Raw genomic sequence first — 22,385 nt, forward strand, 5'->3', positions numbered from 1 at the left:
AGAAAAGAATTTCAGCCAGAGTCATACATTTCTAAAATGTCTACAAGATAGATCAGCTATTTTCCATCTATTGGTGGGCAACAAAATGCTCCACCAAAAGGCAGACGCGGTACAAGCCCTACACCAAGGCAAATCGCCAAACTTCCCATTAGTTCTGCCTCTAAATGACTAGGGGTCAGCCCAGAAGGCTGAAAGGCCTGAGGAAAGTGAGGAAGGGACTTAAGCAAAAGGATCAGCGAGTGCAAAATTGATATGTTTCAGGAAAAAGAAGGAAAACAGAGGCAGAGTGGAAAGGATGGGAGAAAAAGTGGTAAGATCATGCACTAGGGAGGTAAGGAGGTCAGACCATGTAGTGGGGTTGAAGGGCTTGGTAGGACCTTTGGATGAAAAGACAGATATACTCCCTTCCTTTATAGAGAAATCGTCTACCAGGGAAAAGAGATGTCTAGAAAAGAATAATCCCAAACACAATAAACACTGTGAAATGAAAATGCAAAGAGTGGGGAATCATATAATGAAGGGGCTTAAAAAAGGCTTCCCTGGTTCTTCAAAGAGTATTGATGTGGCAACAGAAGAGCTGGGACCAGGGGTAGAGTATTCCTGAGAGAGCAAATGGAATAGGCAAAGAAATAGTGGGAAATAGTGGGGTACACTTGAGGCAAAAAGCCCAGGGGAGCTGAACACTGAATATAAGGAGGAGAGGGATGCCAAGAAGTGAGACTGGAAAGCAAGATGACACTGGACCCGGGGAGCCCTTGCAAATCATGGCACGGATTCAGGTCCATACTCTAAGAGCAAGAGGAAGCCCCTTTAAGCAATAGAATGACAATCAGACCAGGGTTCTAAGAAGACCGTATTGGCGGATGATTTGGTATGGCTGAAATACAGAGTGAGGAAGGGAAGTGGCAAGAGATAACACTGAAGAAATTTACTGGGGCCAGGTTATATAGGGAAAGACCTAGAAAAGTTCTTCTCTCCTTCATTTTTCTAAAAAGAAAAAGAAAAAAATAGACAATCCAACATGCACTAAGGAAAATATCATCTGTCTTGGGAAGCGTCACTTCCTTTCCCACTAACTTTATTCTCTTGGCCAACAAGCTGAAAGTTACCATTTTATCTTATTCATAGCTGTACAGTAACTGCCAACATAGGGGTCCCATACACTAGTGCTTCTCACACTTACTTGAATGTGCATAAGAATCCCCTGGTGACCCTATTAAGTTGAAAATTCCTTTTTTTTTTTTAAGACAGAGTCTCACTCTGTTGCCCAGGCTTGAGTACACTGGCATGATCTTGGCTCACTGCAGCCTCTGCCTCCCAGGTTCAAGCAATTCTCCTGCCTCAGCCTCCCAAGTAGCTGGGATTACTGGCATGCGCCACCACACTCGGCTAAGTTTTGTATTTTTAGTAGAGACAGGGTTTCACCACGTTGCCCAGGCTGGTCTCAAACTCCTGACCTCAAGTGATCTGCCTGCCTCGGCCTCCTAAAGTGCTGGGATTAGAGGTGAGCCACAGTACCCGGCCGAGTTGCAGATTCTTCAGCAGTAGTACACTGGTCCGGGACACGGTCTGAGATTCTGCATTTCTAACATGTTCCCAGGTAATACCTATGATGCTGGTCCATGAGCCACACTTAGAATAGAATAGCAAGGTAATATACAGTTCTAGAGCTAAACAGAAGATCTCCGGGCTTTCTGGACATAAACATAATAGCAGAGTTAAAACTACAAAATAAGCAAACAGAACCAGCCTCTGTTTACTTCGCTGCTTTCTGTCAGATAACTTGGATGTGGCATTGTCTTTCCAGAAAGTGACTTTAGGAGGTGTTCAGTGTGTAACTTCACTGAAGCAATTCAACTCCAACAATACTCCTCTGGGAGGCATAAGGTGAGACGCCTTCTGGCTATGACCCTACACCACAGTGACACCTGCTGGTGAATTGATGGATTACATTTTGAGCACATTTCTATAAGCAGGCTTTGAGAATAATTGTCTTGGGAGCCGACTTTTTCACAATTAAAACTGCCTGAAGTGCATCTTCTAGCTGTAAAAGGAACTTTTAAAAATAAGGCATCTGAAATGCCTTGATAAGAGTTAAGATCTGAGCAATGGTATGCTGATATATGTTTAGCAACCAGCTGTCCAGGAAAAAGAAATATATGTGTGTGTGTGTGTGTGTGTGTGTGTGTGTGTGTATCTTATACATTTTACTGATATAAAAGATTGCAGCACAGTAATGAAATGTACAACATATTTTATTATAAATTCTATATAGAAATTGACTCACAGAATGGCTATGCTTATTTTTACCAAACTTTGGTGTTGATTGCTAACCCATAATTGCAATTCAATCATGTTTTGACAAACAGACTATGAATAAGTACCTAATTAGCATGGAATTTGGCAATGAAGCCACTCAAGTCATTGATGACATGAATGTAATTCTGACATGAATGTTGGTTGATATTTAATGAATAAGGCAACAGTGAAACAACAAAGATATATGTTAGAACTTCACTCATTCATCAGTGACATAAACATAACTTTTCTTTAGAACTGGATAATACAATCGACTTTTGACTAATGTAGGGGTTAGGGGTGCCAAACCTGGGCATAGTTGAAAATCTGCCTATAACTTTTGACTCCCCAAAAACTTAACTACTAATAGGCTACTGCTGACTGGGAGCCTTACCAATAACATAAACAGCCAATTCACACATATTTTGTATGTTACATGTATTATATCCTGTATTCTTATAGAAAAGTCAGCTAGAAAAAGAAAATTAAGAAAATCATCAAAAAGAGAAAATATATTTACTATTTATTAAGTGGAAGTGAATCATCATAAAGGTCTTCATCCTCATGATCTTCATGCTGAACAGGCTGAAGAGGAGGAGGAATAAGAGGGGTTGGTCTTGCTATATGGGGGTGGTAGAAGCAGAAGAGATGGAGGAGGAGGCAGGAGAGGCAGGCACACCGGTGTAACTTTTTTTTTAATCCACGTATAAGTGGACTCGGGCAGTTCAAACGCATGTTGTTCAAAGGTCAACTGTCGTGTTGAATACTGAAAGACTATTTCTTCAATTTCTGTGTTATTCACAATGTAGTTACAGACACGACACAATTTTAAATTTAACCCACATTATTAACGTTTCTCTATCATTTTTTAAAGTCTAGATAGTCAACAAAATGATAAATCCTGCCCTGCTTTGTAGCATTTTTTAACTTCCTAGTTACAAATACTCCCATCATGACTGGCTTCAAGCTACGAGTGTGAAATCACTGAAAGTGGAGTTGGGCAGGGGCACCCCACCCTAAGGCATTTCCACCATATATATGAAACAGAGAGAAATAACCTCCAGAGGATAGGTACTGGAAAATTATAATACATCACTGGGAAGTGGTGAATTTTGAGTATTTTTAACCTTTGTTTTTAATATTATTTATTTGATTGTAAGTTTATGTAATTTAATTTTTTAATAGTGGCTGTTTTTAACAACCAGCTCGCACATCTTTTAAAAGTTTAACAACTGGGTCTCATAAGCTAGTAGGAGCCAGTTCCAGGAAACCACTGGGTCTGTTGGATTGAGGGGAGGTTTGGAGATAACATAAAAAGGTATTCAGAAAGCCTGGGAGGACATGCTGGGGATTTCACCCTGAAAAAGGTTTATGCCAGCTCTTGGCCAGGTCAGCAAAAAATGGCAGATGAAGTCATGGAATTGCAGTGGAATATAGAGCACAATTCCTGATATGGAGAACTGTTCCTGATAGTGAGAAAGGAACTGAAGTTGTCCTGCCCAAGAGTAGACATTAGCAGGAACATTGAAGGGCCAAGGCATGAGGGCCAAGGCAATAACAAGGTTACCAAAAGGGGAGAGACAGGGAGGGAAGAGAGAATCCTGGCCTGTCTCTCTTCTGAATCACCTATGCCACTGAACAGGCTCCTGTTTGACAATAGGGTAACCAGAATATTAGGGGAAAACAAAAGGTTAGCAAAGATGTTCTGCCCACAGTGCACATTCACCAGGAGTGAAGAGAGTGAAAGAATAAGGAAGACATTTACTCCTGAACTCTACCGCTAACCTAGACCTCCTCTAAAGAAAGATAGGATGATGAAGCCTCTGCCTTTGGTTTGATGTGAGTGCTGAGTCTTACTCTACTTACTCCCCACCTAAAGGGAAAAGTGGCTACATTTATTTAATTAGGATCTTGCTGTTTTAAAACCGGAAAAATCTATAGATCAATAAACCAGGAAGAGATTTTTTAAATCATCTAATCTAGTCCTCACATTTCACAAATAATTATAAACATTGACATTTCTGCACTCAGGAAGATGGAAAAGTACTTCTCCATAGTCCTTCTGAAAAGTACAGCTTTTTATCCTTCATATTATAAATGTAGTAGACTGACTAAGGAACTCAGTATTCAAAGAATGGCAAAGTGGCAAGTACCCTGGGTTTTCTTTTTGCCTAATACACATCAGAGTTGGAGCTGAAGAGGCAGGCAACTAGGAAAGGCCAAAGAACTAGGAAATGGACAGCCTAGCAAGATAGAAAGCTGGTAGATAATAACCCCTCTACTCTCACCAACAACCACAGAAATGAAAACCAGAAATGAAAGAGGGGACATTACTACCAATTTTACAGAAACCAAAGGAATGTAAAAGAGTACTATGAACAATTGTATGCCAACAAATTGGTAACCTAGATGAGATGGATGAATTCCTAGAAATATACAACCTGTCAACATTGAATCATGAAGAAACAGAAAATCCAAATAAGTTTACTAGGGCTGTCGTAACAAAATACTACCGACTTATTGCTTAAACAATGGAAAATTATGTTTCCACAGTTCTAGAGGCTGGAAGTCCAAGATCAAGTTGTCTGAAGGTTTGGTTTCTTCCAAGATCTATGGCCACATGCAGATGGCCACATTCTCACTTTGTTCTCACTCGGTCTTTCCTTTCTGTCTTTTTTGATGAGGAAGGAATACTTCCAAACTCATTCTATGAAGCCAGCCTTACCCTGATACCAAAGCACACAAATATCTGTTGTCTCTGTCCATGTCCTAATCTCTTCTTATAAAGACACATATTAGATTAGGGCCACCCCTAAAATCTCATTTTAATTGACTACTGCTTTAAAAGTCCTATCTCCAAATATAGTCACATTTTGAGGTAGTGGAGGTTAGGGCTTCAATATGTGAATCGCAGTGGTGGGACACAATTCAGGCCATAACAACCTATAACTAGTAGGGATAGTGAATCGGAAATCAGAAACCTCCCAACAACCTTCTAGATGACATCACTGGTGAATTCTACCCAATTTTTTTTTTTAATTAACACCAACACTTCTCAAACTCTTCTAAAATGTAAAAGAGGGAGAAGCACTTCCAAACTCATTCTATGAGGCCAGACTTACCCTAATCCTAAAGCCAGACAAAGACATTATAGATAAGAAAACTTGCCACTTGCCATTGGCTAGTAACAAGATCCCCCCTCCTACAGTGTCAATGGAGACCACATGAAAAGTGTGGACTTCCACTTCTATAGGCAAAAATGAAACACCCTTTCTCCTGGCTGGAGAGGTTTTAGAAGAGGTCTAATGAAGAGTCATGATGTTCACCATTGCCCAGCAGCAATGAAATCACCCCCATTGCAGTATCAGTAGAGACCATATGGGAAGCTGAACTTCCACAGACACTGCCCATCAGTAGTGAAGAGTTCCCTCCTCGGGTGTCATCAAAAGCCAAGTGAGGTGTCAGTATTTCACCTCCAATTGGCAGAAATGATGCAGTACACACTTCCCCTTCTCCTGGAGCAGTGGCAGGAAAAGCAGCTAAAACAAAAGGCTTAAATAAGACCCATATCTTATTCTTGCTTCAACAACACAAATAATAAAATTGGAATGATACAGAGATTACTATGGCCACTGCATGAGGATGTCGTGCAAATTCATGATCAATGAAAAAAAGATCAGGATCTCAAAACATAATATTTTAATGACCCAGTTGCAATAAAAAATTATTCATCATACCAAGAACTAAAAATATCTCAAACTAAATGAAAAAAGACAATCAATAGATGCAACTACCACTGAGAGAGATGTTGAAATTTACTGGGAAAAATTTTTAAAGGAGCCATAATTTTTTAATGCTCCAATGAGCTATACAAACATGCTTGAAATAAGTGAAAAAATAGTAAATTTCAACGAAGAGATATAAAGTTTCAAGAAAGAAATAGAAGATATAAAGGAGAATCAAATGGAAATTATAAAACTAAAACATACAACCGTGAGTATAAAAAGCTCATTGAGTAGGCTAACTGTAAGAATGGACGGGAAAGAGGAAAGAATCAGTTATCTGGAAGGTAAAACATTAGACATTGCCCAAATAACAATAGAGAAAATGGATTGAAATAAATGCACACAGCCTCAAGAACCAGTGAGACTGTAACAAAAGATCTACCATTTGTGTATTTGGAACCCTGGAAGGAAACAAGAAAGAAAATGGGGCTAAAAAGTACTCAAAGAAATAATGGATGAAAACTTTCCAAAATTCACAAAAGACAAAAACCTGTAGATTCAAGATGACCAAACAAGTTAAACCGAGAGAAATCCACATCAAGACATATCACATCATGATTAAACTTCTTAAAACTAAAGACAACATCTTGAAAACACCATAGAATAAATGACACCTTACCTATTGAGGAAAAACAGTTCAAATGACAGTTGATTTATCATCAAAAACCACAGTGGCCAATAAGAAATGACATGATATTTTCAAATGCTGAAAGGGAAGAACTATCAACCCAGAATCCTATATCCAACAAAAATATTCTTCAGAGATGAAGGAGAAATCAAGCCATGTTCAGATGAAGGAAAATTAAAATAACTTGTTGCCAGAAAACCTGCTCTAAAAGAATGATTTTTAAAAGCGTTCTTAAAAGGAAGAAAATTATAAAGAATATGCTAAGCAAAAAATGAACAAAAAACCCTCAAGTTTTCTAATTTATGTTTATTAGTTGAAGCACATATTACAACACTGATAAATTTCTAAATGTATGTTGAGGAAATATTTTAAACAATTCTATTATAAGTGGAGAAGGGTAAAGGAATGTAAAAGGAGACATGGTTTCTATATCTCACTCAAGCTGGTAAAATGACAACACCAGCCAATTGTAAAGTTCGTGTATATGTGATGTAATATCTTAAAAAAAACACTTAAAAACAATCAAATAATGCACACACACACATATATACACACACATATATGTAAATGGAAAATCTTTGGTGATAATAATATGTCAGTGTAGATTCATCAGTTGCAAGAAATGTACCACTGTGGTGTTGATAGTGGGGGAATAAAGTCTAGCTACATATGTGTGTGTGTATATATATATATACATGTGTGTGTGTGTGAATTATTAAATTATCAAATTGTACATAAAAAATTGCATCAAATATAAATGGTCTAAATACACTCCCAAAAAAAACCCAGCATATAGGTTTCAAAATATGACCCAACTACACGCTGCCCATAAGAAATTCTCTTAAACTATACTGATATAGGTAAATAGGATATAAAAGGATGTTTAAAAAAAAGATATATCATTTAAACATTAATCAAAGAAAAGCAACATTGGTAATATTGATATGAGATAAAGTAGACTTCAGAGCCAAAAATAGTACCAGAAACAGATAGGGACATTACAGAAAGACAAAAAAAAGTAGTCCACCAAAAAGACATAGTAATCCTAAGTAAGTATGCACCAAACAACAGAGCTACAAAACATATGAAGCAAAAACACATAGAACTGAAAGGAGAAATAGACAAATATACAATTATGTTGAAGTCTTCACTCTTTTCTCAACAGTTGACAGAACAACTAGACAGAAAATATAAAGACTACAGAAGAACACAACACAACATGCCATCAACCAACAGAATCTAATCAATATTTTTAGGGCACTTTTCTCAATAACAGAAGAATACATATTGTTTTTAAGCACTCAGAAAATATATACCAAGATAGGCCATATATCTAGGATCATAAAACAAACCTAAAAATTTTAAAATATTGGAATCATACAAAATGGGTTCAGTGACCACAATGGAATCAAACTGAAAATCAATAACAGAGCACTAAGAGAAAAATATTTGGCGAGGCGCGGTGGCTCACACCTGTAATCCCAGCACTTTGGGAGGCCACGGTGGGCAGATCACTTGAGGTCAGGAGTGCAAACCAGTCTAGCCAACATAGTGAAACCCTGTCTCTACTAAAAATACAAGAATTAGCCGAGGCTGGTGTCACACACCTGTAATCCCAGCTACTTGGGAGGATGAGGCAGGAGAATTGCTTGAACCCAGGAAGCGGAGGTTGCAGTGAGCTGAGATTGCACCACTGCACTCCAGCCTGGACAACAGAGTGAGACTCCATCTCAAAAAAAAAAAAAAAAAGAAAAAGAAAGAAAATATCCAAATACTTGGGAACTGAACAGCACACTTATAATATTTCAGTAAAGAGGAAGGCTCTAAAGAAATAGAAAATATATTGAACTGACAAAAAAACACAACTAAAGCAATACTGAGAGAGGAATTTATAGCACTAAATGTATACATTAAAGGTGGGGGAAAGCCTGAGATAAATAATCCAAATTCTCACCTCAAGAAGCTAGGGAAAAAAAAGAGCAAGATAAATCTAAAGCAAACAGAAGCAAGGAAATAATAAAAATAAGAGTCAAAATCAATGACATTGAAAACAGAAAAACAATAAAGAAAATTAGGCCAGGCTTGGTGGCTAGTGCCTGTAATCCCAACACTTTGGGGAGCCAAGGCAGGAAGATTGCTTGAGCCCAGGAGTTCAAGACCAGCCTGGGCAACATAGCAAGACTCCATCTCTACAAAAAAATCAAAAAAGCCTGGGCATGGTGGCTCATGCCTGTAATCCCAGCATTTTGAGAGGCCAAGGCCTGAGGTCAGGAGTTTGACACCAGCCTGGCCAACATGGTGAAACCCCACTCTACTAAATATACAAAATTAGCCAGGCATGGTGGCATGTCCCTGTAGTCCCAGCTACTTGGGAGGCTGAGGCAAGAGAATTGCTTGAACCCGGGAGGTGGAGGCTGCAGTGAGCTGAGATCACACCACTGCAACTCCAGCCTGGGAGACAGAAAGAGAGACTTTGTCTCAAAAAAAAATTAAAAAATTAAAAAATTAGCCAGGTGTGATGGCTCACACCTGTGGGCTCAGCTACACAGGAGGCTGAGGCAGGAGGATCACTCAAGCCCAGGAAGTTGAGGCTGCAGTGAGCTGTGTTTGTACCACTGCACTCCAGCCTATCTGACAGAGCAAGACCCTGTCCCCCCACAAAAAAAGAAAACTGACAAATCTGTAGCAAGACTGACCAAAGGGAAAAAATATTGCAACAAAGGACTAGTATTAGAATATATAAAGAACTCTCAAAACTTAACAGTAAAAAAAAAAAAAATCCAATTAGAATATGAGCTCAAGACATGACAAGGTATTTCACAGAAGATATACAGACAGCATAAAACCCATGAAAAGATGTTCAATCTTATTAGCCATTAGGAAAATGTGAATTAAAACCACAATTAGATAATCACTACACATGTATCAGGATGGCCAAAACTAAAACTAGTGACAACACTAAATGCTGGTGAAGAAGCAGAAAAACTGGATCACTCAAACATTGTTAGTAGGAATGTTACAGCCAAGCTAAAAACCATTTGCCAATGTCTTTAAAAACTAAATGTGCAGTTACCGTATGACTCAGCAATTCTACCTCTAGTCACTTATCCTAAAGAAAACTGGCCAGGCACAGTGGCTCACACCTGTAAAGCCAGCACTTTGGGATGCCGAGGCGGGCAGATCACCTAAGATCAGGAGTTTGAGACCAGCCTGGCCAACACGGTGAAACTCCATCTCTATTAAAAATACAGAATATTAGCCGGGTGTGGTGTCGCATGCCTGTAATCCCAGCTACTCGGGAGGCTGAGGCAGGAGAATCGCTTGAACCTAGGCGGCAGAGGTTGCAGGCAGTGAGCCAAGATCGCGCCACTGCACTCCAGCCTGGGCGACAGAGCAAGACTCCGTCTAAGAAAAAAAAAAAAAAGGAAAAGAAAACTTACTTTCACGCAAAAACCTATATCAAGTTTAATTTTAAAATATTTAGTTTACTTCTCAAGGGTTCCACAAGTGTGTACAGACAGACACAGGACCAGATCTCTGTCCTGACCTCTGTCCTTCACTACATATCTGTCCATCATGTCTGGAATGGTGTTAAAATTTTATCTTCATCTGATGGATACTGATTGCTCAAAGTTCTGTGCTGAGAAGGTTTCTAAGGCCTTGGGATTCTAAAATTAGCAGGAAAAGCTTTCACAATTGATTACAGGTGTCTGCCATGAATGTAACCGGCAAGAAATGCGATAGACAAGCTTAATATTGGCCAATCCTAAATTGAAATGTACTGCCTCTCCAATTACAGAATATTCAAACCAAAAGAGATATTAGCAATTACCATGTACACAACCCCTTTATTATACTGATGAGGAAAAGCGAAGCAAAGTAAGAGAGATCCAGACCCCAAGTTTACTATCTCACTTGTCCATCCTTGCTTTTAGAGGTAATTGACTAGGTATTTCAAGTCAGTGAGTTTTTTTCTGAAAGGATTTTACTTGTTCAGTTATTTTTTACAAACAGCTTCTTGATGCTAGAGGTTTCCTAGAAAAATGGGAGATGAACATTCTAGAAGAGAAAATATCCAACTTCAATATTTGGAGCAGAAACTCACACACGTCTTCTTGAAAGTCAAGCTAACATTTGCTAAGGATATCTTGTCTTATTTTAAGAAGTACATGTGTTCTCCTCTCATATGGCAGAAAGTGGTAGAGAGACATAATATGGGGTGTTAGGACCCCCAACCCACACTTCCTTGTGGGGACCTCCAAACCCCCACTTCCCTTTGCCTATGCAAATCATTACCCCATTGTGTTAGGAATTCCCAGAGTCTTTTCAGCCTTCCAAAACTAACAGCTTCCATTTTTCCGTTAGTTCGTTTGTCTTGTTAATATCAAAGAGATCCCTAAGAATGAATAAATGGAGTAAAATTAAAATTTCCAGGGGTAATCACACTCCTGAGAGTTTCCCCTATGCATGTTAAAATAAGTTTTGTGTGCCTTTTTCTCCTATTTAAAAAAATGTCAAGTCTGGATACGCTTATGTTTTTAAAAGAGGGAAAGAAGCCAGCTTCTTAAATCCTTCACTCCTAAGAACAAGCTGTGCTCAGAGATGTGAATTCATTACTGGCTACTTTGGTTCTGTGCGCCTTGAGACCTTACTGTCTGAAGCCTTGCTGCCACCTCCCTGAATAACCACGTATCGATGGTTAATGAATATATAAAGATTTGAGGATCTGACTGGTGTAAGCAGGACTGACACTTGATCTTTTGAGTGAAACTTGTGATAACAGCTCACAGAGCCCCCTCTGAAAGCTCTCCATGGCCTTTTCTGCTGCCAGCATCCTGCCTTATCAGCAGGCACCAAAAGCTTCAAATTACAGCAGCTAATTGGATGAAAACGGAAATGCATCCTTCTAATGGAGTGAGATTAATGCCCTGATCTTCTTCCTTCACTTGCTGAGGGAAAACAAAAACACAGACGAAGGTTGTGATACAGAAAAGGAAATTAGCTTGCTTCAGAGCCACAGAGTAGACGTTCCAGCTAAAATCTAAGGTGACTAAAGACACATATCAAAAGGACAGAAAACAACCCAAGATGGCAATTTCCAAATTATTTAAGAGGCAACTTGCCGAATCCCTTGCTCAGTAAAAGTTAACAGGAGGATTTACCTTTGTACACGGATAAGTCACTTGTGCCTAAAGGTAATTTCATTTATGGCTTGATTTTATGACATTTTTATAACTGTGACACCCTACATGGGTCCCAGGAATAAACAGAGCTGAATAATAAGAGAAATCAAAATAAAGATTGAATGTGAAATTGTCTAATGCAACTGAGACGGTGATATAGCCAACAGGGCATATTTTTATGAGCATTCTGTTGCTCCAGTAGATTTCTTATGGACTAAAATTGTTTGCATTAAAAACACATTTGCAGTTGGTTCAGGAGAGAGGACTTGGATGACATCAACCTATTTTATCTCAAGAATTGCAATTAAAAAATGTATGCAGAGTAATTTCATCTTTTTATTAAATTACCCTGAAAAAAAGAGCAATGCTACTATAGGGTGATTCAGACACTAAAATTCAAAAGAGCTCGAGAGTGAGAGACATTGAATTTACACGATTTAAAACACAGGTCTGCCATCAATGCCCTGGGTGATTTTCTTATGACAATTAATCACCACATGTGGTATATTTTACTTTTTTTTTTTTTTTTTTTTGAGTCAGAGTCTCACTCTGTCACCCAGGCTGGAGTGTAATGGCACAATCTCAGCTTATTGCAACCTCCACCTCCCGGGTTCAAGTGATTTTCGTGCCTCAGCCTCCCAAGTGGCAGGGATTATAGGCGCCTGCCACCACGCCCAGCTAATGTTTGTATTTTTAGTAGAGACAGGGTTTCACCATGTTGACCAGGCTGGTTTCAAACTCCTGACGTCAAGTGATCCGCCCACGTAGGCCTCCCAAACTGCTGGGATTATGGCTTTTTAAATATGTTTTTATACTCCATTTGCAAGGGATGAAATGTGTGAGTGCCTTAAGGAGGTACCAGCATGATGGCAGGAGGAACAATGGGGCGTGGAAAGAGGAAAGAAGACAGTAAAGCAGCTACAGAAGTTGGTATTTATTACTTTTTTTTTTTTTTTTGAGATGGAGTTTCGCTCTTGTTGCCCAGGCTGGAGTGCAACGGGGTGATCTTGGCTCACCACGACCTCTGCCTCCTGGGTTCAAGTGATTCTCCTGCCTCAGCCTCCCAAGTAGCTGGGATTACAGGTGCCTGCCACCACGCCCAGCTAATTCTGTATTTTTATTAGAGATGGGGTTTCTCCATGTTGGTCAGGCTGGTCTTGAACGCCCATCTTCAGGTGATCCACCCTCCTCAGCCTCCCAAAGTGCTGGGATTACAGGCGTGAGCCACCGTGCCTGGCCCTACATTTTTAAATTATAGCCACTGAGTGCAGTGGAAAGAAAAAAAAAAAAAAAACTCTGTGAGAGGCATTCAAACTGCCTAATTGTGAGCTAAATTTCCTTAGAATTTAAACCTAACTGCTTTGCATAAACTTCTAGATCAACAGATGTCCATCCTCTTCTATTATCTGAGGGTTTGGTTTACACTGTCAGCCAACAAACCCTTCTCTATTAAGCACCAATTACAGGTTGAGCTTTAGATTACATGCTTCATGAATGACCAGTGTGGAATAAATATAATTATCAGATAACATGAAAAATATACCAGGCCCATAACTAACCACTGCTGCCTCTCCATTTTATGTTGTCAGCAAAAGGACCACTAATTGTTTCCTTTGGAATCATTCTGTTTCTTTTCAGAGCTTATTGCAGAATTATCATAAACTTTGCTCTCAATCTGGACACTACCCCTTGTTTTCTGCATACATTTGGATGTTACTCGATATTCCACATCTGTTTTTCAATCTGCAGAAATCAGAGGTATAATGTTTCCATCTTACAAAGTTGTTTTGAGGCTCAAGTCACATCAGGGCCATAAGTAAAAATGTTTGGAACATATATTGAGCTATAGAGAATGCAAAGAAAGACATGAGCCCCCAGGATAAAATAATCTAGTAGGTGAGATACAATCTGGGCTTATTCTAAGGCATCATATGAACAAACATAATATAAATATAGAGAACAGAGACAGCCCATGTGAATGTCACAGTTATTCAAAGCAAGCAAAGAATCATCATGAGGTAGATTAGTCAGAGAAAACTTCTATGAAGTTTTAGTCCCTGAAGGAAATATAATTTCTCCATAAAATCAAAAATTATAATACACTATTGGCATTTGTTAGGAATATGGATCTCCAAAGTGCCTTTTGAATGCTTTACCCAACTCTCTGACACTTAGCAATACAGCCTATGCTTCAAAATATATCCAGGTGCTCCTTCTCCTGCGCCTGTCACCATCCGCACAAAAACAAGAGAACCGCTCCAGGTTCTTCCAATCCCTAAAAAAAACAAGCATCTCCACCTTGATCCCCGCAATCAACACTCTGAGCTGACACTTAGCTTCCTTTTCTGGAAGTGTTAATGAAAAAAGCCTGCACTGTTTGGTTGTATTTTCTCTGATCATTTATTTTATTCCCTTTTAAAGTACCATAGGTTCTGCAAATACTGTTTGTAGCTATATATTATGTCTACATGTCCACCACCAGCAGTAAGACTTGACAAATTATCTAAATTAATTATCCAGACTTGGCTTTGGTTACTATTTCAAAACACGATGCATTGAATTTGAGGCATTGGCACATGAAAATATTACTCATGCTTGTTGCTAATTTTAAATGAGAAAATGTTTTAAATTCAGACATATATTCAAGTACACTTTATTTACTCATGGGCAGGTTTTTAATTAAGGCAAAACAGGCTACTTAACATAAACCATGAACTGGCAATAGAAGTATAGGCAGAATTCAAAGTCATAAATTCATTCATTGATGGATTCTGCCGGGCACTGAGCTAGGCATTAGGGATGTATAGAGAAAAGGATACCACCTGACCTTCAAGGAACTCAGTCTGCAGGAGACAAATATGTAAACGGATTCTAAAACTTACAATGTAATACATTCTTTTACAGACGATGCAGGATTGATTTTTCCTTCACCTCCTGATGCCAGGTGCATACCAGACTAACATAAGAGAAGACAAAGGAGACAGATGATATTTTAAAAAGACAATGTAGTGGCCAGGTGTGGTGGCTCACACCTGTAATCCCAGCACTTTGGGAGGCCAAGGTGGGTGGATCACTCAAGGTCAGGAGTTCGAGACTAGCCTGGCCAACATGGTGAAACTTGGTCTCTACTAAAAATGCAAAAATTAGCCAGACCTGGTGGTGGGCACCTGTAATCTCAGCCACTCGGGAGGCTGAAGCAGGAGAATTCCTTGAACTCTGGAGGTGGAGGTTGCAGTGAGCCGAGATCTGCTTTCCAACCTCGGTGACAGAGCAAGACTCTGCCTCAAAAAAAAAAAAAAAAAAGGCCATCTACAGAAAATGCCTCTGTTATTGCAGATGAATGCTACATAGTCCAGAACATTGGAGACAAGGAACATACTGTCTCAGAACCAGTGAAGGAAACTGAAGAAAGAAAAACTAATAAAATGTGGCAGAAGAGTCACTCCCAATTGATGATGAGTGAAAATAATGAGTCCACCTCCTCATTAAAACTCTCAAAGAGCCAGAATGTAGAATTTCAACCAAAAAAAAAGTCAGAGTGTTAGGTGTGTCCTTCCTTTTTCCTTGTAGGTGTGTGGATGTGCACACATGAAAGTGTATATGTGTGAGTTAACCGGGTAACTGTTGAGACCATGTAGGGAATGGGTTGTACCACTTCCTCCTTTTCCACATTGGTGTATAACCTGGTAATTACACAGGAGAAATACAAATATGTAATGAAAGAAGAAGAGTAATAGCCTTTGGGGATATTAGGGCAGGCTTTACTGAGAAAATAATTTGAAGTGAGTCCTGAAGAAAAAACAGGAATCATTTATGTCCTGATATTCCTGGCAGAGGAAATAAAACAGAGTCTACAAAGATTTAGAGGTATGAAGGGAGCATGGAGTGTTTAGGGAACAGGCAAGTAGTTTGGTGCAGGCAGAGCACAGGGGCACATGAATGGAGAGAAGGAGGTGAGCCTAGGAATTCAGACAAGGGCTATATCAGAAAGTATTTATCCTAGAAGTGATGAGTGGCTCTTAAAGAATATTGAGCTAGAGAGTGTTTCGTTTATATGAGAAAAAAACCTAAAATAAGCAGCATATAAAGGTTACACCACATAAATACATTGGAAAAAGACTGTATGAACTTCATCTGAGCTGAGAGCCAAAGGATGTGGACTTGACCTCGGAGGAGATCCGTGGAGCCTAATGTATGGAGCGTGCATCTAGAGAAGCCTCATGGAAAGGAGTAGTTCCGTGTCAAGGGTCTTACCCGTTGTATTGGCTACCAGTGCCAGATAGCTGTAGGAGTCAAGCCAGAGGCCACAGACATTTTTCCCCATTCATGAATGTAGCCCTTTTCCTGGGCAAGTAGCCATGCAAGCTCCTCTTCTCCTTGCTTTTTTCACAAGTGCCTTAAAAAAATTTTTTTTGATAGTTTTGGGGGAACAGGTGGCTTTTTGTTACATAGATAAGTTCTTTAGTAGTAATTTCTGAGATTTTGGTGCACCCATCACCTGACCAGCGTACGCTGTACCCAGTGTGTAGTCTTTTATCCTTCACACCCCTCCTACCCTTCGCACTAAGACCCCAAAGTCCATTGTATCATTCTTATGCCTTTGCATCCTCATAGCTTAGCTCTCACTTGTAAGTGAGAACATACGATGTTTGGTTTTCCACTCCTGAGTTACTTCACTTAGGATAATGGTCTCCAACTCCATACAAGCAGCTGCAAATGCCATTATTTGGTTCCTTTTTATGGCTGAGTAGTAGTCCATGGTGTATATGTACCATATTTTCTTTATCCACTCATTGGTCGATGGGCATTTAGGCTAGTTCCATATTTTTGCAATTGTGAATTGTTCTGCCATAAACATGCATGTACAAGTATCTTTTTCATATAATGACGTCTTTTCCTTTGGGCAGATACCCAATAGCGGGATTGCTGGATCAAATGGTAGATCTACTTTCAGTTCTTTAAGGAATCTCCGTGCTGTTTTCCATAGTAGTTGTACTAGTTTACATTCCCACCAGCAGGGTAAAAGTGTTCCTTTTTCACCACACCCCCATTAACATCTAATTTTTTTAATTTTTAAATTATGGTAAAAATTATGGACATTCTTACAGGAGTAAGGTGGTATCTCATTATAGCTTTAATTTGCATTTCCCTGATATTTAGTTATGTTGAGCATTTTTTCATATGTTTGTTGGCCATTTATATATCTTTGTTTGAGAATTGTCTATTCATGTTTTCTGCCCACTTTTTGATGAGTTCCTTGTAGATTCTGGATATTAGTCCTTTGTCAGATACATAGTTTGCAAGTATTTTCTACTATTCTCTGGGTCGTCTGTTTCCTCTGCTGATTATTTCCTTTGCTGTGCAGAAGCTTTTTATTAACAGCTTCTTGCATATTGACTGTGGATCATCTGTAAGAGAGATTCATCTTGGCTGAAGGTATGTTGAGCCCCATCTGAAATGACCCACATCCTTTTCCCAGGCCCTGTCTTCTCCCTGAAACAGAGGGTGGTGTCCTTGACACCCTAAGGGACAAGGATGAGTGGATGTGAAAATCCACGGCCAGCTCCTGAACTTGGTAAGACTAGATTGTGGTGAGTTAGACCCTGCACAAAAATAGTAGCAGAAGGAAGGGACAGATGTGAATATATTAAGGAAGTGGACTATTGAGTGGGATTGATTGACATGGGAAGAGGAGGCAAGAAAGAAATACAGGATGATTCTCAGACATACAATTTTAATGATAGAAAAAGATCCTGATTTCCATTGTTTTAAGGTCAAGGGGCTTGCATGCATCTAAGTCAAGTTTCCCAGTGGAAAATTGATCATATATATATTTGCATCAAGATTAGAAACATGGCTTTGAAGAGAAAAAAATGTTTGGTGTCAGAAAGGAGAGATCAGTGATTGCCTTGGGCCAGGAAAAGGGGAGTATTGACTGCAAAGAGAAACTAAGGGACCTATTGGGGTGGATGAACGTTCTAAATGTTAATTGTGGTGGTATAAATACATTTATATACATTTGAAAAAATTCACTAAATGTGAAATGGGTGCACTGTGTTTTATATAATTATAATGCAACAAAGTTCTTTATTTTTATTTTTATTTTTTGGGACAGAGTCTCACTCTGTTGCCCAGGCTGGAGTGCAGTGGCACGATCTCGGCTCACTGCCCACTGCAACCTGCCTCAGCCTCCCGAGTACCTGGGATTACAGGTGTGCACCGCCACACCCGGCTAGTTTTTGTTTTCTTAGTAGAGACAGGGTTTCACCATGTTGGCCAGGCTGGTCACAAACTCCTGACCTCAGGTGATCCACCCACCTCATCCTCCCAAAAGTGCTGGGGTTACAGGCACGAGCCACTGCACCAGGCCTAAAGCTCATTTTTAAATATGTTTTAAAGTCATAAGTGTACGCTATAGTTTGGATGTTTGATCCCTCCAAACCTTATGTTGAAATTTGGTCCCCAGTGTTGGAGGTGAGGCCTAATGAAAGGGGTTTGGTCATAGGAGCAGATCTCTCATGATAGATTAATGCCCTTCCTGGTGATGGGGAGTCGGCGGGGGGCAGGGGGTGTGAGTGAGTTCTTGCTCTATTATTCTCAAGAGCTGGTTGTTAAAAAAGAGCCCTGCACCTCCTGCCCTAACCTCTTCCTCCCTTGCCATGTGATCTCCACATGCACCAGCACCACTTCCTCTTCCACCAAGAGTGGAAGCAGCCTAAAGCCTTCATTATATGCAGATGCTGGCACCATGCTTCTTGTACAGCCTGAAGAACTGTGAGCCAAATAAACCTCTTACCCAGCCTCCGATATTTCTTTGTAGCAACACAAAAGGACTAAAACAGTAAATTGAAACAGATGAGAGTGGAAAACATAAAACAGGCAAGACAGATGAGAAACATTACAGAGTGAGATAAAAAAAAAGGATAGAGGCTATAACTGTATATAACAGGTAGAAGATAAAAACTAGCAAAGTCATTAGCCAGTGGTTAGCCATGACAGAATTATATCATTTTAAAGCTGTTTGGGAATTTATATGTCATCTAGTTTCACTTCATTCTACATGTGAAGGAGCTGGGGTTCACATTGAGACAAAATCTTTTGCTCAAGGTCATAAAGATTTAATAACAAAGACAAAACTAGATATAAGCCAGGACTCCCAGGCCTGGGATGGCTGTGTGTTGAACGGCTCTGTCAATGGGACCAAGTTGTAAATGACACTTTACACAAAAAGAAACCCCTCTTGTGTCCTGCTGAGGGTGAAGCCACAGTCACTGCTTTCTGTGTCTAGTATTCATCAAATAGCCATGAAATTTCACACGCTTACAAAAAGCCTTAGAAAGCAAAACCACCTTATGAGGAAGAAGAGGTGTTCCTGGCTGTCACTACGTGAGATTTTGGAGTTAGAAACAAAATGTGCACCACTCAGCCGGAGAATGAAGGGGCCACTTTTCTGTTACACAAATACCTTAAACGGGGCTTTATTTCCCCGTGCAATGATGCATTTCTTCACATTGCACAGGCACTTTCTGACAAATCAGATAAATGAATATGTCCACAGGCTAGTGAAAATTAAGAAAGTGTGGAGAAGTTATTTAACAATGTATCAAGCCAAGTATCCCATTTTTATTTTTGATTCTTTTTTTTTAAATGAACCCACATAAGTGTATTTTCACTTATAATGAGAAAGACAAAAAGTTGACTTCATCCGTGAATATCTAACAGATGGAACCAGAGACATCTAGGGGAGAGGAAATAGAGACAAATATGGTTGTCATGGTTTCTTTGAGAGGCAGTAAACAAAGGGACACGAATGGACAATGAAAGCCCCCATTGGGAAAAGCCACATGTCTCTCTTTTCTTTGTTAGATAATTGCCAAGCTCACTTTGAATGTCGGGACTTGGCAGGACATGAGAGAATAGAGATACTGTCATTCACCCATGGCTATCCTCATATCAGATTACCCTGGGACCACCCTATCCTCCTCTACAACAGACATCAAACAATTAATGACCACCTCAGATTAATCAATTATCCCAGTGGGCAGTGCCCTGAGGACATATGGGACACATGTAAACATGAGAGAAGCTGTGCACAGCCTGAGACCAAGTTTTCTGTTTAATTGGGAAGCAGCATGCCCATAAGAGGAGAGCAACATTTCGAAAGCTTTGTAAATCCTGTTGAACACATTCAGGTTTGTAGTCCCCAGTGTCACTTTCCAGCCATCTCCAAATTGATCTAAACTCAACTCCACCATATTCTGGTTAATACATGAATGGTGCAATACTTGATAAATCTTCATTGTTGAATGTTTCCCTGTAATTTGCTTGCAGGGGTGTTAGACAAAGAGGGAATGGAAGCAGACAGGGATCCCTTCCCAACATCTTTTATGAGAGTAAAATTAAAGCCCAGTGCAATGAAGACTGTGCCTACATGATGTCAAACAGGCAAATGTTGGAAACAGTCAGTTTGGCTGAACTCACGCATGTTTTGTCTGGAGATTCTGATCAAGTTGACACAGACTAAAAGTCTTTTCCAAGGTCATCCTAGAGGCTGCCAGCACTGAGATCACTGCAGAAACCCCGGAGTTCTACAGCCATCCCCCTCCTTGCTATTGCCAAAACAGATTCTTTCTCGTCTGCACAAGATTAGAAGTTGTTTTCTCCTTGTTTTTCGTGCCCTTCATGAATGACCCCTTAAGTTTGCTAAAGGATTGTGCAACTTCAACAGAGCCCCTGTGAGGACATGGGGAATGTGGTTGTGTTGAGCAATCACTAGTTTTGGGGTGCTTGGCGGTGAGATCTGGCACCTGAGCCAGCTGCAGTCAGAGGGAGAAAGTGTGGCTTCACCTTGGCTCGGTGACATGCCCTCAGAAGCCAAGAAATCACTGAGCAATTTTTAGGTTGTTAGAATTTATCTCTCTCCTGATTCTGTCCCAAAAGCCCAAAGCTTGCAACATCTTATTTCCTGTTTGGGGATTTCCTGAAATCAAAACTAAGACTTTGGCCTCGGTAAAGAAACCAATAGAAAGCCTCTTTTTCTGGAATTATGCTGTGTGCATCAGCTCCACTGTACAATTCTGCTTCACCAACTTAACACTATTTTTATATCTCCTCAGAAAGTGCATTTTTTACTCTCTTTCTTCATTATCCATACAGCTCTGTTACTTGTTATTGTCATCCCCCTCACCTCCCGCCGACTTTTTGAAAATTTGAAAGCCTCTTATTATAGTAAAATTTGTTTGGTGTGTTGTTGGTGTTTCAAAAGATAGGCAGAATATGAATTTTGGAGAACCACATCATATTTGTCAGGGTTCTTCAGAGAAACAGAACCGATAGGAGATTACATATAGATAAGAAGATTTATTATGGGAATTGGCTCATTCAGTTATGAAGGTCAAGAAGTCCTACCATCTGTTCCACAATCTGGAGAACGAGGAGGGTTGGTGGTGTAATTCCCTGTAAGTCCAAAGGCCCAAGAACCAGAGGAGCTGATGATGTAAGCCCCGGTTTGAGTCTGAGGGCAGTAGGAGGATAATTCCCAATCTGAGACTGAAGGCCCAAGAACCTGGAATAACAATGCATGAAGGCAGAAGATGGATGTTCCAGCTCAAGAATAGAGAGATAATTCGCTCTTCTTGGCCTTTTTGTTCTATCTAACCCCTCTGGATTAAATAATGCCTGTTTTCATTGGCGATCTTTTTTACTCAGTCTACTGAGTCAAATGCTGATCTATTCTGGAAACACTCTCACAGACACACCCAGAAATAATATTTTACCAGCAACCTGAGCATCCCTTAGCCCAGTCAACTTGGCATATAAAATTAACCATCACATGTTATCTTCTATAATTGCAAAAATAAAGGAAATTTTGGATAAGAATCAAATTAAAGAGAATAACAGACTTGACTAATGGCGTCTTTGTTTCTTAGATCTGAGACTTATGTGGGGAGGAGCATAACAAGTAGGGCATGGGGGATGACATCATACGCTATTTTTCTTTGAACTTTATGGTCATTTCCCATAACTATAATCATGGTTTACCATAGCGGCACTTCCGAAATCCCAACAGTACTTTTTTCTGAACTTTCGTTGTTTACACAAATATGTGATCTTTACTTCACAGTCCTTTGTGAGCCTTATTCTGCCAGTACCCACAATGGAGAAATGGAAATACTTTTGGATGCAGAATTACAATGGCACCCTGCAAACAAATCAGGTGAGAGACCACCACACCTAGGCTTTCTTATCAATGGGAGTATCTTTTAAGGCTAACACAGCTGCTGCAGGATTTTCCAAGTGTTTAATACATGCCAACCAGATTATTTATATTCCAATATCAATATTATATCTTCCTTCCTAAAGAAGGGAAAAACAGGCTCACTTATAAGTGCTGACAGAGGCTCCCTTCCACTTGTAAAGAACTCATATTTATATTAAAGGTTATAAGAGTACAACTGGATTTTTCAATATCAATGTGGAAAATGAACAGCT

At 39.7% G+C, this 22,385-nt stretch overlaps 1 protein-coding gene and 1 pseudogene across 4 annotated transcripts in view, besides 3 other annotated features; one reads left to right on the top strand and one right to left on the bottom strand.

The window, feature by feature from the left end:
* Positions 1-22,385, bottom strand: part of POFUT3 (protein O-fucosyltransferase 3) — a 165,086-nt gene that overhangs the window by 24,931 nt on the left and 117,770 nt on the right. The gene's annotated exons all lie outside the window — the stretch shown is intronic.
* Positions 5,876-5,975, top strand: RNU6-528P (RNA, U6 small nuclear 528, pseudogene; annotated as a pseudogene).
* Positions 11,259-11,812: an enhancer, noted in NCBI's record as "OCT4-NANOG hESC enhancer chr8:33201768-33202321 (GRCh37/hg19 assembly coordinates)". NCBI's record gives its function as "activates a minimal SCP1, AML or CMV promoter by ChIP-STARR-seq in naive H9 embryonic stem cells {active_cell/tissue: H9 hESC(naive)}" and the evidence as "EXISTENCE:reporter gene assay evidence [ECO:0000049][PMID:30033119]".
* Positions 11,400-11,694: a silencer, noted in NCBI's record as "tiled region #14794; HepG2 Repressive non-DNase unmatched - State 23:Low, and K562 Repressive DNase unmatched - State 8:EnhW". NCBI's record gives its function as "represses a minimal TATA promoter and a strong SV40 promoter by Sharpr-MPRA in HepG2 and K562 cells {active_cell/tissue: HepG2 | K562}" and the evidence as "EXISTENCE:reporter gene assay evidence [ECO:0000049][PMID:27701403]".
* Positions 19,505-20,124: an enhancer, noted in NCBI's record as "NANOG hESC enhancer chr8:33210014-33210633 (GRCh37/hg19 assembly coordinates)". NCBI's record gives its function as "activates a minimal SCP1, AML or CMV promoter by ChIP-STARR-seq in naive and primed H9 embryonic stem cells {active_cell/tissue: H9 hESC(naive and primed)}" and the evidence as "EXISTENCE:reporter gene assay evidence [ECO:0000049][PMID:30033119]".

Source organism: Homo sapiens, chromosome 8 (genome assembly GCF_000001405.40).
Source record: "Homo sapiens chromosome 8, GRCh38.p14 Primary Assembly".
NCBI lineage: Eukaryota > Metazoa > Chordata > Mammalia > Primates > Hominidae > Homo > Homo sapiens.